General features: G+C 38.7%; 1 protein-coding gene across 17 annotated transcripts in view, besides 1 other annotated feature; it reads left to right on the plus strand.

The window, feature by feature from the left end:
• DOCK8 (dedicator of cytokinesis 8) overlaps window positions 1–18842 on the plus strand; it is a 253999-nt gene that overhangs the window by 74119 nt on the left and 161038 nt on the right. For all 17 annotated transcript variants that reach the window (XM_017015173.2, XM_047423927.1, XM_011518045.4 and 14 more), the window contains 2 exons: window positions 1086–1261; window positions 4135–4206. In XM_017015173.2, coding sequence (XP_016870662.1) covers window positions 1134–1261; window positions 4135–4206 — 200 coding nt within the window. In that variant the 5' untranslated portion in view covers window positions 1086–1133. The remainder of the gene's footprint in view (window positions 1–1085; window positions 1262–4134; window positions 4207–18842) is intronic.
• Window positions 420–1619: an enhancer, noted in NCBI's record as "BRD4-independent group 4 enhancer chr9:285795-286994 (GRCh37/hg19 assembly coordinates)". NCBI's record gives its function as "activates an origin of replication core promoter dependent on BRD2, P300/CBP, MED14 and CDK7 cofactors, and independent of BRD4, by STARR-seq in HCT116 cells {active_cell/tissue: HCT116}" and the evidence as "EXISTENCE:reporter gene assay evidence [ECO:0000049][PMID:35650434]".

Here is an 18842-nt window from a genome sequence, read left to right on the forward strand (position 1 = left end):
CTCCCATCAAGGCAGTGCAAGTAAAGAATCCAAGATATTTGTTTTGTTGGTCCACTGGAGGGTAGAGATAGAGAAAAACAGTAACTTCCCCACCACCCCCAACCTCCCTTGGGCTGATGACTCCAAAGACTGCCATAAATGAACACTTCATAGAGCTGCTATTAATATGACACAAATCTACTTGATCTAAGGGATTCTTTTACTTTCTTAGGGTGGTCATTCCTAAGTCTTTGGATTTCACAGAAAAGAAAATATATTTTAATTGAGGACTGACAAAGGTTGCCAACTTTTTATCAATTATAAGAATTGTTTTTATAATTACCATCAATTTCTATTATTTCTTTTACTCCCCCTCTTTCCAACTGTGGAAGGTAAAATTGAAGAGCAAAGAACACTTATTTCAAAGTGAGTAAATTTAGCTATATGAAAACTCAGCAGATTGCCCTGAGTTTCCTTGCGTAGCTGCAGTCCAGTGGAAATTTCTTCCAGACCAGCACCAGTCGCCCCAGTGACATTTAGAAATCACTGCCCTGGATTGTTTCAGCCACCGAAACACTCGGTGTTCACTGTCAGCTATGATTATATATGAAGTGCTTTCGAGAACCAATGTATAGCATAACTTAGGCCAAAAGAAACACTGTGCCTAAACACTCAGCCAAGGAGTGTTGAGTTTGCCTGGATTTCTGGAAAATTGTCTCCGTTCCCTAGTTCACTGTATTTGGGTAAACAAAACATGGCCTCGGAGAGCCTTTGCGGGAGAAATTATAAAAATTCAGCAAAGCTTTGTGATCTCATTTTGGATCTCCTCAGGATTCCTCATCAAGTTGCAATTAAGGAGAGAAAAATTCCGCCTTGGGGTGGGATTTTAATTACTCATCATGTTATGACTTGACTTTCTGTGCTGCATTTTTTTCCATATCACTACTTCTGTGTTTGACAGCTCCTCCAAAGAGTCGCTCCGTTTTATGCCAGGAGCGAAGTACTTACTAAGTCAAAGGAAAGCAAGGCAAACATCTACTATTGCCTTTGTGCTTTTACCAGAAAACTGGGTGAGAACCTCCTTTTCCTTTTCCCTGCCCCTCCAGCCTCAGTTTTATGACCCTGTGGAGCCAGTGGACTTTGAAGGACTTCTGATGACACACCTGAACAGCCTGGATGTGCAGCTTGCCCAGGAGCTCGGGGACTTCACTGATGACGACTTGGACGTGGTGTTCACGCCAAAGGAATGTAGGACTTTGCAGCCCTCTTTGCCGGAGGAAGGGTAAATAGTTTTCTAAAATGTAGATGTGATTGGGATTGTCATGATTGTTTTCAATAAGTGGGTAGGGGAGATGCCTTCAATCTGAACTTAAAAATAAAATAAAATTACTCAATCCATTCAAATGTGTGGGACAGCTATATGATATCATCATGTAAGTATAGATAGTTTTTAAATTAGTTTGGCCAGAGATTTTGAAAAGCTATGTGAAGACTAAGCCAGTGCAAGGGATGCAGGAGGACCAAATGAAATGCTCAAGAGGAGGTTAAAAGTGCAGGCTCTGGAGCCAGACCACCTGGCTGCCAGCTCAGTGACCTTGGCTGTCACATGACCTCCCAAATCCTCGGTTTCTCCATTTGTAAAAATGTCAAGATTTTTAATAATAATTACTGAAATGCCACCATCCAGAAGCATTTTAATTGCTTACAGTTATGAGACTGGATCAAGTTAGAAACATAAGGTAAACCCACATTTATTGAGCATCTACTATGTTCTGGGTACTGAGATAAAAAGATGAATAAGTCAAAGTCCCTCCTTTAAAGAAAGTGTCATGCAGTGCTAAAACAGTGGGGAGAGCTCTGTAGAATAAATATGTGAATAGCTAATTAGGGCTTGAGTTTCTATAGTTGGCTCTTCTATATGTTTATAGGCTTGGGCATTAGTTTTTGGCATCAAACTAACTGTGGAATTGTAGCTAAATGAAACGCCTGTTGCTTCTAAAATGTAAAAAAAAATGTCTCTTTGGAGGTTTAGGATAAACTTTTATTTACATTTATTTTAAAAGCCAAATTAAGATTCATATCCTCCTGGACAGGTTCCATCTTCTCATCTTCCCCAGAAGGTCCCAGAAAGAAGATCCTGACACACAGCCCCTGCCCTCTTTACTCTGAGATATTCTAGTTCTATTTTGGATTTTATTTCATCACAGTTTAAGGAGGTTGGATGATAATGGGCTGGTATTATTGTGAACCGTTGCTCTCTTGTTCAGACAGTCCTCACTCACATAGGAGAACTGACCATATGTGTAGCTCTGATGTTTTAAAAATACACACTTCCCAGGAAAGAAAAACATTGTCATTTTTGGGAAACATACTCCCCCATTTTCAGTCCATTTATTCAGGTATGACTTTAGTATAAGTTAACACCTACTATTTCATCTTTAGTGAAGAATCATTTAATTTATTCCTTTATGTAAAATTTATGGATGTTTCCAAATATGGTCAGAATCTTGGAAAAAGCTGTTTAAAATGCTTACAGTAGCCAGTCACCGCAGCTTGTTCCTGTGGTCCCAGCTACTTGGGAGGCTGAGGCAAGAGGATCACTTGAGCCCAGGAATTTGAGTTCAGCCTGGGTAAAATAGTGAGACCCTGTTTCTTACAAAACAAAAACAAAAAACAGTACAATGAATTTAGAGGAAGGAGGAGGTTTTTTTTTTTTTGAAATTTGATAAGGAAGATAATTTCTTTACTTAGCATCAGTTTTTTAGTATACTGTTGCCTTGTCAAAAGAATTTATAGGTAACATACCTGTCTGATGTCTTTAAGACAGCCTCTACTATTTCAGTTGTTGCCAAAAAGTCTTCTGTATAATTAAGGCAGGGGAAGGTATCATCATCACACCAGAGTAAACAATAGCTGACTCCTGTTGAACAACCTGTGCCTAGCCCAGAACTTTATGTTGAGCTGTGATGGCGTGGTAGTGAAAAACATGAACGCTACAGGTGAGCTGCCTGGATTCAGGTCCCTGCTCCACCACTTGCTGTGTGACTTGGAACAAGATCCTTACCATCTCATTTTTCTGCAAAGTGAGAATAATAGTAATGCCTGCCCTATGGTGCTGATTGAGAATTAACTGAATTAATACATATAAAGTGATTGCCTCAGTGCATAATGCACAGTAAATGCTACCTAAGTGTAAACTATTAATATCATATATGCGTCTTATTGTGTGCCAGGCAGTCTTCTAAGCACTTTGCACACTAACCGATTTAATCTTCATCAAAGCTGTCTACTAAAAGGGGCACTCTTACTACTCTAACAGCTTTAAGGAGAGGAAACTGAGGCACAGAAGGGTTGAGTGACTGGCTTATGGTCACATAGCTATAAGCGATGAAGCTGGGATTTGGGCAATTAGGGCCCAGAGACTGCATGTGTAACCTTTACAATATTTTATCTAATACTAACAGCATGTCTCTGTTCTTACCTCCTTATCACAGATGAGAAAATTAAGGCTTGTAGCATTTAAGCCTGTTTATTTCTGGTACTAATGCATTTGCAACAATAGCAAAAAGCTTTGCTACAATTGTTATTTTTGATTTCAAGACTCTGAAGCACTTGAAGAGTATTGCTCATGGTGCATTCCTTAAGTAGACATGACAGGAACCAACTGAATTAATGATCACCAACAAAAGCCAGTGTTTGCAATTTCATCAAAGCATAAGACAACTGTTCTTTTTCCTGGCTTTCAAAAAGGAGAACACGCGTGTCCTAACAAGGTTACACATGCATAAAAAATATGTCCAAATTACCCTGTCAGAGATAGGTATTTATACTTATTTTCCTTGTTTTGTATTCGAATACAGCTAGTTCTACCTGTCTTGTGTCTGAATGCCTTCGGGGATAGTTATAATTTAACATGATTCTGTATAATAAAGAAAACCCACAAAGCAAAAAAATGCCAACATGTTTGTCTCATCAAAGTAAAAATGTTTATTGCCCCAGGAATACTTCAGACATTTGGAATGATTGGGCAAGAACATCCTAAGCATTCTCACTGATAAGGATTTAAATTCGTGTCATGTTCCTTGCTCATGATTAGGGGTTGTTTTGTTGTTTTACCCAGTAATAACGTGTTTATTTCATTTTCTACCTCATTAGGGTTGAACTGGACCCTCATGTCAGGGACTGTGTTCAGACCTACATCCGTGAGTGGCTAATCGTGAACCGGAAGTAAGTTACTTTTTTTCCACTTTTTGTATATAAATATTAATTTTATATTGCTAGTTTTTAAATATTTCTTAATACTTTGAACAGTTCTAGGTTTACAGAAAAATTGCATGGCAAATAGAGTTCTCATGTATGCCTTCCTTATCCCCACTCCATATCACACACACAGTTCCCCCTATTATGAACATCTCACTTTAGTGTGGTACATTTGTTACAGTAGCTGAGCCAATATGGATATGTTGTTATTAACTAAAGACCATAGTTTACATTAATGTTTACTTTTTGTGTTGTATATTCTATGGGTTTTGACAAATGTGTAATGACATGTATATGCCTTTACAGTATCATACAGAATTGTTTCACTGCCCTAAAAATCCTCTGTGTTCCACCTGTTCATCCTCCCTCCCTGGCAACCACTTTCCTTTTTTACTGTCTCCATAATTCCACCTTGTTCTTCAATGTCTTTTTGTGGCTTGATAGCTCATTTTTTTTATTGCTGAATAATCTTTCATTGCATGGCTGTACCATTGTTTATTTATCCATTAACTTACTGAGAAAGAAAGTTCTATTTTAAACATAAAGAATAGACTGCAAGCTTGCCCAACCCCTAGCCCGTGGGCAACATGGAGCCCAGGATGGCTTTGAATGTGGCCCAACACAAATTCATAAACTTTCTTAAAACATTATGAGGTTTTTTTTTTTGCGATTTTTTTAAAGCTCATTAGCTATTGTTAGTGTTAGTGTATTTGATATTTGGCCTGAGATAATTCTTCTTCCAGTATGGCCCAGGGAAGCCAAAAGTTTGGGCACCTGGAATAGAGCCTTTTTGTTGTCTTCTAATTCTGATGAATTCCCAGGGGGAAAAATTAAGTGAATTGAAACCTGGCCTCAGCTTCAGAGGTGGCATTCGAGTTTATGACCAAGAAATAAATTACTTGCTGGCCTTCCAGTAAGGGATCTTTCTCTCCTGGATTAATCAAACCTTCTGTGACATTGTTCTGAGCTTTTTCTCTCCATGCCATGGACCTGGACAGCACTCTCTCATGAGAAACATCTATGCACATTGAAATTCTCAGCCTGCATGGGTGTACCTGTTGGGGAGTGAGATGTGGACTCTCTACAGATTAGGGCACACCCCACTAGAGACACGTCACAGAACCTTTGACAAGACATTAGTAGTTTAAAATTCTGATAGCCTCACTCCTCCTATACCTCAGTAAGAATTACTATTCTATGGGGTAAATGATGAAAGACTTTGAGGATTGGGTTTTATCTAGCTCCTGGAAGGGTGCCATTGAGTTTGTGCTGAGGTTTTCTGGAGTAATGTCAATATGCACACATTTTCAGCAGCAGAAAAAGAGAAAGCATTCATTATTAAAAGTTATTAAGAGAAAGTTAGATGCCAATCCATCATCTGTTCTAAAATGAATGGAAAACAAAGTTTGCTGGGCAGTCAGATAAAATTATGGTTTGCTGATAATAAATAAAAGATTTCAGAACAAGTTGTTCTCAAGTTTTTAAATGCTATCATTAGAGGTACTTTCTGGACATTAAAGATCTAAAAAAAATCTGAGAAGGAACAAATAGAAAGATCCATTTTGATACATTTGGTTTTCAGATTTATTTTCTATTTCGGGCTTGTCCACTTTTTCATTTCTCATGGCAATGCACGCTTCTTGGAGTAGTGATTTTTCTTGATCTTGCACAAATGTAAGAGAAAAAAATGACTCTTTTTGGAATACTCGTTGAAATTTTAGAAATAATTATGAAACACAAATCACTCAGTTTCACTCTAGACAGATAATCATCATGAACATTTGATGTCTGTCCTTTGAATAGTGTTGGGTTTTTTTGGTATATATTTGCGTGAAAACTAAATAAGATTATAATATCATTTTTGTAACATGCATTTTCAGTTTTCACAGTAAAGAGTGATTCTCTTCCTTTGCTATTAAATATGCTTCCTCAATACAATGATTGATGATTGCATAATATATTTATACCAAAATTTATTTAACCAATTTTAATATTTAGGTGATTCCTTCCTTTTCAGTGTTGTGCTTAAAATGCAAAAACATCCTTCTCAGGAAAAATTTGTACATATTTATGATTTTTTTCTTTGGAATTAATTCCTACAAGAGGAATTTCTATGTCAAAGGATATGCACAAATTTAAAGATTTGGAATACTAGATCAAACATTATGCCGGGCGCAGTGGCTCACATTTATAATCTTACTCAGCACTTTGGGAGGTTGAGGTAGGAGGATCCCTTGAACCCAGGAGTTCAAGACCAGCCTAGGCAATATACAGAGACCCCACCTCTAAAAAAATTTTTTAAAAAATTAACTGGATATGATGACATGCACCTGTAGTCCTAGCTACTCGGGAGGCTGAGGCAGGAGGATCACTTGAGCCCAGGAGGTCAAGGCTGTAGTGAGTGACGATTGCACCACTGCACACCAGCCCAGGCAACAGAGGAAGACCCTATCTCAAAAAAAAAAAAAAAAAAAAAGCCAGGCACGGTGCTCATGCCTGTAATCCCAGCACTTTGGGAGGCCAAGACGGGTGGATCACCTGAGGTTGGGAGTTTGAGACCAGCCTGACCAACATGGAGAAACCCAGTCTCTACTAAAAATACAAAATTAACCGGGCATGGTGGTGCATGTCTGTAATCCCAGCTACTTGGGAGGCTGAGGCAGGAGAATCACTTGATCCTCTAAAAATAGCTAAACTGGGAGGCAGAGGTTGTGGTGAGCCAAGATCGCGCCATTGCACTCCAGCCTGGGCAACAAGAGTGAAACTCCGTCTCAAAAAAAAAAAAAAAAAAAAAAAAAAGATTATTGACACTACATGCATGAATCCTCAAGAATATTAGATGTTATAATTTATCAACATTTCCAATTTTATTTGATAAAAGGTTGTCTTTTTTTTCATTTTCTTTTACTATTAGATTAGGCATCTTTCTTCTATATATTTCTTGGCCATTTTTTATTTTTCCTGGTGCTCTGCTTATTCGTGAAATTTGTGCATCCCTATTAATGTATTTGTCTAGTCTGATTTATTTTTATAAGCACTTTTTTGGTAAAGATATTAAGCCTTGTCTACCATGTATTAAAAATGTCTTCCCCAGTATGCCTTTTGTCTTTTAAAGTTGTTTTTAATTTTCAACATTCAGAATTATTTATGTCATTAAATCTATATTAATATTTTTCCTTATGTTTAATTTTGGCATCATGCTTAAAATTTGATTCACAAACTTATTATTATTTTCTAAGAGTATGGGATTAAAGCATTAATCCAGATCATTAGCCACTTGACTGTTGCTTCTGTTCCCTTATGTGTCTCCATTTGTTTTTATCTTTTCTACAGAAGCAATGGTTACCCATATATTTATTATATGCAAGTTTTTGCATCTTGTTCCCCTAAAAAAGAAAGGAATATGTGTTTTAATTTTATGTTTGGCAACATTCTAGGGATGGGATTACCATTGGCCCAGTTCTCTGCACCCCTGTGTAATGGAGCAGTTCCCTTCTTAACGGTCACCTAGTGGACAGGGAGAAGTGTACAACTTCAGAACTCATTGTCAGTTTCTGGCAAGCTTTCTTGTAGAAAAGTTGCATCTCTTTCTATCCCTCTGCCTCATTCTCTTGCACTCTGAATCTAACACTCTGCCCATGAAAACTAAAATTCCTAGCACACACTCCTCCCAGGGATCATTCTGTCTCTATATGCACCTGTCGTATTTTATCTGTGGGGAGAATCCAGTACACTATTGCCAGATGTCCTTCATCTCCCAACCTCACACAGTACATTTTTAGCTTATTGTTTTCTGTGAGTTGTATCTGTATTGTTTTAGAATGATGGTAGAAGGAGAAGGACAAGGAGAAGGTGGTGATTCATATAAATGAAACCAGCTGGAAGCTGTGATGCTTTCATAGATAAGCCACTATTATGAAGAAGGAGACTTCAGATTTCTGTATAGACACTGACCAGGGACTCGTGGGCAGGAAGGTGTGCAACACCTTCTTATCTTTATTCAGTGAGTTCCCCTTTGGGGAGACAAAGTTTGGTACATCCTTCTCTTTCCAGCTCCATCTGATCCACAGAGGTTCTGTCCAGATTCAGGCATTAAGTTATCTCTTCATTTGGATGAGTTTCCAGTTTTTCTGTGTCTTCATAAGTGGTTTACTAGAAAGTCGGAGGAGGATGCAATAGGGGTTGCTGGCCATTTGTTAATTAGTGATTAATTATTTAGCTCTCCTTTAATTGGTTATGTGCCAAATCATGTATGATTGTTTTGAAAGAAATCAAGTAATATGGAGGTGCATTAAGGAAAAGGCAAATCTCATGCCTCACTACTTACCAGTGTCCTACCCTTCCCTTAACTCACTCTTCACTGCGTAAAGCCCAGCTGTGTAGCTTCCAGATCTTTTCATACCCTCACAAAAAATATTTGTCTATTTATATTTTTCACATAAAGATATATGTATTAATGTATGTACTTATATATTACAAACATTTCTTTAAAATAACTGTCCATGTCAGAGCTATATCCCATTCTACTGAAATGCTGCCTAGTATTCAAAGGGTGAAGGAATGTGTCCTAAGTTACTGAAACTAAATGACCATTTTGGTTGTCACCATTTTTCATAATTGCAAATAATACTGAAACAAACATATCTGCACATTTGCCCCATACATGTGTGTGAATATTTCTGAGGGTAGAAATGAAGCCAGTGTACATGGTATGCTCTGATAGGTACTGCCAAATTCTTCTCCAGAAAAGTCGTGCTGTTTCATTCCATTACCAACTGGGCATTAAACTGGCGTGTTCCCATATTCTTGCCAGTGCTGGATATTATTTATTAAAATAAAATTTCAGTTCCTCCAGTCTTCTTTTAGTTATTATTTTAATCTGGAAGCTATTACACCTACTTTCTGAATACAGTTTCCTATCACCAAGTTTCCTTTCCTTATGTGTTCTAAAATCCCAGTTAAATATGCACTTAACCATACAACCGTAAGTCCCACTCTTGAGTATTTACATAAAACCTATGTGCAAATACAGCAGTTTAGCAGTTTTATTTGTAATTGCCAAGACTGCATAGCAGTTTTATTTGTAATTGCCAAAAACTGGAAGAAAACCCAGATTGTACTCAGTTGGGTAGTAGATAAACAAACTCTGGTAAATCCATACAATGGAATACTACTCAGCAGTGAAATGGAACAAACAATTGATATATACAACAACATGGATGAATCTCAGATACAGTATGCTAAGTGAAAGAAGCCAGACAAAGGCCGGGCATGGTGGCTCATGCCTGTAATCCCAGCACTTTGGGAGGCTGAGGCAGGTGGATCACTTGAGGTCAGGAGTTCCAGACCAGCCTGACCAACATGGTGAAACCCCGTCTCTACTAAAACTACAAAAATTAGCTGGGCGTGGTGGCACGTGCCTGTAGTCCCAGTTACTCAGGAGGCTGAGGCAGGAGAATCGCTTGAACCTGGGAGGCGGAGGTTGCAGTGAGCTGAGATCATGCCATTGTACTCCAGCCTGGGCAACAAAGTGAGATTCTGTCTTAAAAAAAAAAAAAGAAGAAGAACCCAGACAAAAAAGATAACTGCATGATTCCATGTATCTGACATTCTGGAAAAGATGAAGCTACAGGGATGGAAAACAGGTCCATGGTTCCCAGGGTCTGGGAGTGGGGAAGAGGGCTGACTACAAAAGGACACGGGAGTGCCCTTTGCGTGGTGCTGGGACTGTAGTGCCCATGATGTAAAATCTGCCTTGGACCATTACATTAGAAGAAATCAATTCCAGTTATCCCAATATTCCCTCCAAGTGAAATACTTTGGTAGCATATATAATAATAATTCAATAAGTATTAGCTATTATATTTATTAAGTAGTACCTATCAGAAAACATACTTATATTAGCATGTCAAAGGAATGAACACAAAATTCTCTCCCATATATTGAACGCACCATGGAGGGGGGACCTGCCTTCCTCTGGAGGACCATACTTAGTGAAGCCACTTTGCCTTATAAGGACATGCCTTTGTTATCCAGAACCAAGCAGTCAAACACTGATTTAGTTAGCTCCTTTATTTCTCAGTTATCTCCTGCTGATATTACATTTCTCCATAATATCTAGAGATAGGCTTTTATGTCCTTGCTAGCTGTGGTAATGGTTTTGAATCCCACTTAGGGGGCAGAGGAGTAGAGTAATGGCCACTTGTGTTCCCTCCCACCCTCATCATTCTACAGGGCATTTGCCACTCAAGTACTGTAATTGAGACATTTAAATCATACAAATAATGCTGCCCATGAAGGATAGAGGAAATTTTTAGATTTCCTTTTAAACCTAACAGAGAAAGATTAAGTTACATAAAAATGTAAAATACATGATCTCCAGTACATTGAAGGAAATGTATTTTCTTACTTGAAATGTTTGTGTTACTTAGACTGGAAGATTTATTAAATGATTTCCATTCTATCACTCATGTTTACAGCACCAAATTTGGTGTCCTTGTTCTAAAAACAATAGTACTTTTCTCCCCATGACTTTTGAAAATGATTACTGGTTTACTGATTAGCATGGCGCCATGTTTGCTTGTTTGTCCAACCTTTTATCTGCATATTTTGATAATGTTGTGTGGATTAATATTTGATGACATCCTTTGGGTGATATTAACGATTTTAAGCTTTATTTCTTCTGTCATTTTCTCTAAATGAACCAAAGAGGGATAAACTTCAGAATGTTTTTGATGCCTGGTGGAGAGCTGAACTCTTAAGAAATTAAACTTGTTTACATACTATATTTATTCTTGCCGCAGAGACAGTGAAACATTTCATGAGTGTTATGGGCAGCATCATAAAAGCCTTTAGACTTTGTTTTTCATCTGGGGTGATTAAGGTAATTCTGAAGGAAGGTTGAGCTCAAGGAGAGCTGAGATATCAAGGAATGGGGTATCATCTGTTTTATTACTCCATATTTTACTCCCAGTGAAGTGGTAAACAATTAAAATTCAAACACATCAGTGCATATAATTCAGTTACTCCCAGAACACCATAAAAATGTTTCCCTGATCAATAATTGCTTATTATGACATGCATTTGTTGTGCTAGCTGTCAAGGTGCTTAGCTATTTGCTTTCTAAAAGTATGAAAAGCACGCCCGGCTCATCAGCCTATGTGGTAACAAAGAGCAATCCAGCTGTGGATGTCACAGAGCCACTCTTGACCTGTTGTGCATAGACTCCCTCCCCACAAATCCAAACCCACTAAGACTCTCCAGGCTCTGTTAACACACACCAGCCTGGTTCAGCTTGGATGCCCTCCTCACACCATGTGGGTTCTGATTTTCCATGCCAGGCAGTCCATCTTAAATGGATGCATCCTCACCGTGTTTGGGCTTCAACTTCCTATTCTGGACCTCCTCGGCTACTCCCTACCCCAAGGCATGGAGGGCTGCCTTGTTCTGATGCACCTTATGATTTTAGCACCAAATTGTACAGGAAGGGAGAGAAGGGAAAGGAGAAAGAAGATGTGAAAGGAAAGAGAGGGTAGGGAAGAGGAAAAAGAAGATGAGGAACACGTATTATTTTCTAATCCTCACAATAGGTCCTCAAAATGAGCAACATTTCCCCCTATTTCATACTTGAGGAAGCTGTGACTCAGAGAGACTAAGGCACTTGCCCAAGGTCTCTTAGTACATTAAGGAGCCAGCGTCTGCACCCAGTTCCTTCTGACTCTAGAGCCTGGATTCTGCTGGCTGCACCACACTGTCTTTAAAGAGAACACTCTCAAAACGCGCTTGGTCTTTGGATTGTCTCAAATGTGTTAGAATAGTGTTTTAAGAAAAGGAATGCAGATCTCCTGGGAAGCAATAGGTCGAGTTCATTTCATGAGAATCATTTTTCTAGCCATTGGCCTACTTCCCCATTTTTCTCCTGTCTGCATCTAGGTGCAACAGGAACTTGGCTTTATTTGACTCCATTGCCAGGGTGGGGTAATGAAGCTGGGACTCTCTTGTAGCCAGCGGCAGTGAGCCAGCAGTCTCACTGCCTACCCAGTGATGGTTCCTTCTGTGGCCAGCACTTCTGGAATGAGTCATCTTTACATGTTTGCCAACCCTTGTCCTCTCCTCCCCAGCCAGGTTCACCCTTGCTGCTGTCAAGGAGCTTTGAGACTTTCTGAGATTTTTAAATGGGGAAGTAGATGTTAAACCTAGTATGAGGAAGAGAGGGAAAGTTTGCTCTGGTTTCAAACACACAGTCATAGAAGATGCTAGTCTTAATGCTTTCCATAGCAAAAACCCTGAAGGCTTAGAGTGTACACATTGTGAACTGAACTTTTAACATTATTGTGTAACTCATTTGTTAATGCCTATTTGTCATTGACTGTGGGGTCCATGTGAAAAACTCCCACAAACACTCTAACAAAATGGAAGACAGAAAAGAAAGCAAGCATCATTTGTGTACAATAGCCAAAGAACAATAGCCAAATAAATTTGATGGTCTCAAAAGTTAAGCATCTTTTGAAGAGAAAATTTGATTTTAGGGCCAGGTGGGGTAGCTCATGCCTGTAATCGCAGCACTTTGGGAGGCAGAGGCGGGTGGATCACCTGAGGTCAGGAGTTCGAGACCAGCCTGGCCAACACGGCAAAACCCCGTCTCTACTAAAAATACAAAAATTAGCTGGGTACGGTGGCGCATGCCTGTGATCCCAGCTACTTAAGAGGCTGAGACAGGAGAATTGCTTCAACTCGGGAGGCGGAGGTTGCAGTGAGCCAAGATCATGCCGCTGTACTCCAGCCTGGGTGAAGGAGCCAGACTCTGTCTCCAAAAACAAAAACAAACAGAAAAAAGAATTGATTTTGATTTTTTCAGATACAGTGCATGAACTTTTTATCATAAAATATTAAAGCTGGGGAAAATATCTTAGAATTCACCTCATGTTCATGCTTTACCCTGTGAAGAAACAGAGGCACAGAGAGAAATAACTTGAGGATAATGGAAACAAGCACACATCTGTAAGTGTGTGTGTGTGTGTGTGTGTGTGTGTGTGTGTGTCAGAGAGAGAGAGAGAGATGTTCCTTTGTAAGTAAACACTCTTGGAAATAGCCGCATTTTATTATAACACAAAAAGTAATGCTAAAGCTGATATAGTTCTGGTTGCTAAGCTTCACACACAAAAGGTCTTTAGGTAGCTGCTTCCTAATTTTTATTTCTGTGGCCCAAAAGTCTCCTTGTAAACCTTCGTGTCATGTCATACTAAACCTTTGACATCAATACCCTTTAAAATGTACAAGTCCTTAAAAAAAAAAAAAAGGCAAAGGGCAAATACTAATGTGGGAAATTTGAATTTTAATTAACTGTTTGTTTCAATGTTAGGATAAATTAATGTTAGATAAATTCTTTGGTAATTTTTCCCCCTAAAATTGGATTTTTCAAGAAACATCACTGGTTCAGTATATTGTTATTTGGGGTAGCATAATTTTAGGCGATAACTTAATATTTGCATATATTTGTCACTACTTTGAGTTGGTTTTTGTCCCCTGACCCCCAGCCAGGATGTTAGATCACACAGATTTTTTTTTCTTTGAGCCCTTAGGGAGAGTCCAAAACAGTCACTTCATGTACTAGGAAAGTTTACCCAGTCAGCACACACAGATATGTTGTTGCCTACATTTATATTTGTGAGAGTGACTGTTAAGAAACTAGCAGGTTTATAAAATCCGTGTGAGAATTTCTCTCAAATAACTGTTAATGGACAATCCAGCAATCCTCCCATCTCAGGCTCCCAAGTAGCTGAGACTACAGGCAGGTGGCACCATACTCGGCTAATTTTTTGTGTTTTTTGTAGAGATGCGGTTTCACCATGTCACCCAGGCTGGTCTCAAACTCCTGGGCTCAAGTGGTGCTCCCGCCTTGGCCTCCCAGAGTGCTGGGATTACAGGTGTGAGCCACTGCACCCAGCCTGTACATTTTCCTTGAAATCGTTTTTGGATGTTTAGTCTTATTTCCTTATTCAGAGTTCACCTGTTTATTTTTTTTTTCATTTCCCCAATTTAGCCTGCGTTTCACCCAGCCCTAGCAATATAGGTTTGGGTCAGAGAAATTCAAGCGGCCAGGGGATGCTGAAGATGGCCCATTATGGCCGGGCGCGGTGGCACACATCTGTAATCCCAGCACTTTGGGAGGCCGAGGCAGGCAGATCACAAGGTCAGGAGATCGAGACCATCCTGGCTAACACAGTGAAACCCCGTCTCTACTAAAAATACAAAAAAATTAGCTGGCTGTGGTGGTGGGCGCCTGTAGTCCAAGCTACTCAGGAGACTGAGGCAGGAGAATGGTGTGAACCCGGGAGGCAGAGCTTGCAGTGAGCAGAGATCGTGCCACTGCACTCCAGCCTGGGCGACAGTGAGACTCCGTCTCAAAAAAAAAAAAAAAAGATGGCCCATTGTGGTAAGCCTTGACTTGAATTAGTCACCAAGCTAGTCTTATCTCTTTTCTAGGCTAATTCTTGTTTTTTGTTTGGCTCAAAACAAATTGTTTGTCTTCAGAACACAATAAAATCCAGGGAGAGTGTCCTGTTCTTCCTACAGACGTCACTGGGACATCTTATTCTTTAATTAATTCAGTCAACTAAAATTGGTCAAATACCTGCTCTCTGTGCCAGAGTTATAAACTTTGTATTTGTATAATTGCTAGTAGCTCTCTTACATTTCTTACTTTATCTATCTGGCATTTGATCTACCTAATACCTTCCAATATCACCTCATGTCCCTTTACCAGCTTGGTGGTTTTTCTATAGTTCAGGAAATCAAACAAAATGGTGTGTGACCTGGAGGTACTAGAAAAACAATAGCAAACCAACTCCAAAGCCAGCAGAAGAAAACAAATAACCAAAATCAGAGCTGAAAAAAATTAAAACGTGAAAATCCATACAAAAGATCAATGAAACCAAAAGTTTGTGATTCAAAAAAAAAACAAGGTTGATAGATCACTAACTAGATTAATAAAGAAAACAAGAGAGAAGATCGATCCAAATAAGCACAATCAGAAATGACAAAAATGACACTACAACTGATGCCTCAGAAATATAAAAAATCCTCAGAGACTGTTATAAATACCCCTATGCACACAAACTAGAAAACGTAGAAGAAATGGATAGATTCCTGGAAACACACAAGCCCCCTAAAATTGAAGCAGGAAGAAATTGAAATCTTGAACAGACCAATAGTGAGTTCTGAAATTGAATCAGTAATACAAAACCCACCCCAAAAAGCCCTTAATCAGATGGATTCACAGCCAAATTATACCAGATATACAAAGAAGAGCTAGTACCAATCCTACTGAAATTATTTCAAAAATTCAAGGAGGAAGGACTCCTCTCTAACTCATTCTGCAAAGCCAGCATCATTCTGATACCAAAACCTGGGAGAGACACAGCAGAAAAGAAAACTTCAGGCCAATATCCCTGATGAACATCGACACAAAAATCCTCAACAAAATACTACAAACCAAATCCAGCAGCACATTGAAAAGTTAATTCATCACAATCAAGTAGGCTTTATTCCTGGGATGCGAGGTTGGTTCACCATACACAAATCAATAAATGAGACTCATCACATAGACAGAATTAAAAACAAAAACCACAGGATAATCTCAATAGACACAGAAAAGGCTTTTAACAAAATTCAACATCCCTTCATGTTAAAAACCCTCAACAAATTAGGCATTGAAAGAACATACCTCAAAATAATAAGAGCCATCTATTATTCAACTATCCACAGCCAACATCATACTGAGTGGGCAAAAGCTGGAAGCGTTCCTCTTGAGAACTGGAACAAAACAAGGATGCCTACTCTCACCACTTATATCAACATGGTACTGGAAGTGCTAGCCAGAGAAATCAGGCAAGAAAAAGAAATAAAAGACATCCCAACAGGAAGAGAGGAAGTCAAACTAGCTCTGTCACAGTGCAGGCAATATAATTCTGTACCCAGAAAACACTGCAGACCCTGCTAAAAGGCTCCTAGAACTGATAAACAACTTCAGTAAAGTTTCAGGATACAAAATCAATGTACAAAAGTCAATAACATTTCCACACACCAATAATGTCTAAGTTGAGGGCCAAATCAAGAATGCAATTCCATTTATTTTATCCTTTTGAATAAAATACCTAGGAATACAGCTAATCAAGGAGGTGAAAGATCTCTACAATGAGAATTATGAAACACACTGAAAGAGATCAGAGGTGATACAAACAAATGGACAAATATTCCATGCTCGTGGATAGGAAGAATCAATATTATTAAAACAGCCATAGTGCCCAAAGAGATTTTTAGATTCACTGCTATTCCTATCTTAATTAGCAACATCATTTTTTCACAGAATTTAAAAAAAAAAACCTATTCCAAAATTCATGTGGAACCAAAAAACCTGAATAGCCAAAGCAATCTTAAGCAAAAAGAACAAAGCCGGTGGCATCACACTGTGTGACTTCATACTACACTACAAGGCTACAGTGACCAATACAGCACAGTCCAGGTACAAAAACAGACACGTAGACCAATAGAACAAGATAAAGAACCAGAAATAAAGCTGCACGCCTACAGCCATCTGATCTTTGACGAAGTTGACAATAACAAGCCATGAGGAAAGGTCTCCCTATTCAATAAATGGTGCTGGAGCAACTGGCTAGTCATATACAGAATATTGAAATTGGACCCCTCCTTTTAATCATATACAAACATTAACTCAAGATGGATTAAGGACTTAAATGTAAGACCTAAGATTACAAAAACCCTAGAGAAAAAAACTGGGAAATACTATTCTGGCCATTGGCCTTGGTAAAGAATTTATGAATAAGTCCCCAAAAGCAATGGTAACAAAAACAAAAATTGACAAGTGGGACTTAATTAAACTAAAGAGCTTCTGCACAGCAGAAGAAACTATCAACAGAGTAAACTGATAACCAACTGAATAGGAGAAAATATTTGCAAACCGTAAATCTGAAGAATGTCTGATATCCAGAATCTATAAGGAACTTAGATAATTCAACATGCAAAAAACCACCCCATTTAAAAATGGGCAAAGGACATGAACAGATACTTCTCAAAAGAAGACATACATGTGGCCAAAAAATATATGAAAAAATGCTTAACATCACTAATCATTAGATAAATACAAATCAAAACCACAGTGTGATACCAACTCACAACAGTCAGAATGCCTGTTATTGAAAAGTCATAAAATAGACTGGGCATGTGGCTTATGCTTGTAATCCCAGCATTTTGGGAGGCTGAGGCAGGAGGATTATTTGAAGCCAGGAGGTTGAGACCAGCCTGTGCAATGTAGCAAGACTGTGTCTCTACAAAACATCAAAATAAATGGAAAAAAAAAAAGAAAAAGAAAAAGAAAATTAACTGGGTATGGTGGCGTGTACCTATACTCTCACCTACTGGGAGGCTGAGGTGGGAAGATTGCTTGAGCCTAGGAATTCAAGGCTGCAGTGAGCTATAATCACACCACTGCACTCCATCCTGGGTAGCAGAACGAGACCCTGTCTCAAGAAAAAAAAAAAGGCAAAAATTAACATGTTGGAAATTAGTTCAGTCACTATGGAATGCAGTGTGAAGATTTCTGAAAGAACTTAAAACAGAACTACCATTCAACCCAGCAATCCCACTACTGGGTCTATACCCAAAGGAAAATAAATTGTTCTACAAAAACGACACATGCACTCGTATGTTCCTCACAGCACAATTCACAATAGCAAAGACATGGAATCAACCTAGATGCCCATCGACAGTGGACTAGATAAAGAAAATTTGGTACATATACACCATGAAATACCACACAGCCATAACAAAGAACAAAATCATGGGGGTTTTTTTGCAGCAACATGGATGCAGCTGGAGGCCATTATCCTAAACAAATTAACACAGGAACAGAAAACCAAATACCACATGTTCTTATTTATAAGCAGGAGCTAAACATCGGGTAAACATGGGCATAAAGATAACACGGTAGACACCAGGGATTACTAAAGAAGGGAGGATGGAAGCAGGTGTGGGTTGAAAAACTGCCTATTGAGTACCATGGTCACTATGTGGGTGACGTCAGTATCATGCATACATCAAACCTAAGTGACATGCAATTTACCCATGTAATGAATTTGCACATGTATCCCTTGAACCTAAAATAAAAGTTGGAAAAAAATAAAAGATAAGATATCCCGTATCCTCAATAAAAATAAAAGTGGCGTGTTTGTGCACTTGACTTTGTAACATGTTTTCCAAAGATGTCTTTGAGTCATAAAAATGGGAAATACACATGTTGGTTTCTCTAGTCATCACTTGACAACTTACATGTTTTACCTTTCTTATGATGGTCTGTCTCATTTCTTCAGTGACAGGGCTAGACATTCTGTTTTAAACTCTTCCCACAGCTGTATATTATTCAACACAACTTTAACAGAGTTCATAGAGTGGAGATTGAGGATGTTTGCAAAGTTAAATCATTTATTTTTATTTTTTCTTAACCATGTCCCGCCTGCTTTATTCATTATTAAGAACATTGATGTGAAGATTAAATGGTTTTCTCTATTTTTATCTTCAAACGATCT

The sequence above is a fragment of the Homo sapiens genome, chromosome 9, assembly GCF_000001405.40.
Source record: "Homo sapiens chromosome 9, GRCh38.p14 Primary Assembly".
NCBI classification, from domain to species: domain Eukaryota; kingdom Metazoa; phylum Chordata; class Mammalia; order Primates; family Hominidae; genus Homo; species Homo sapiens.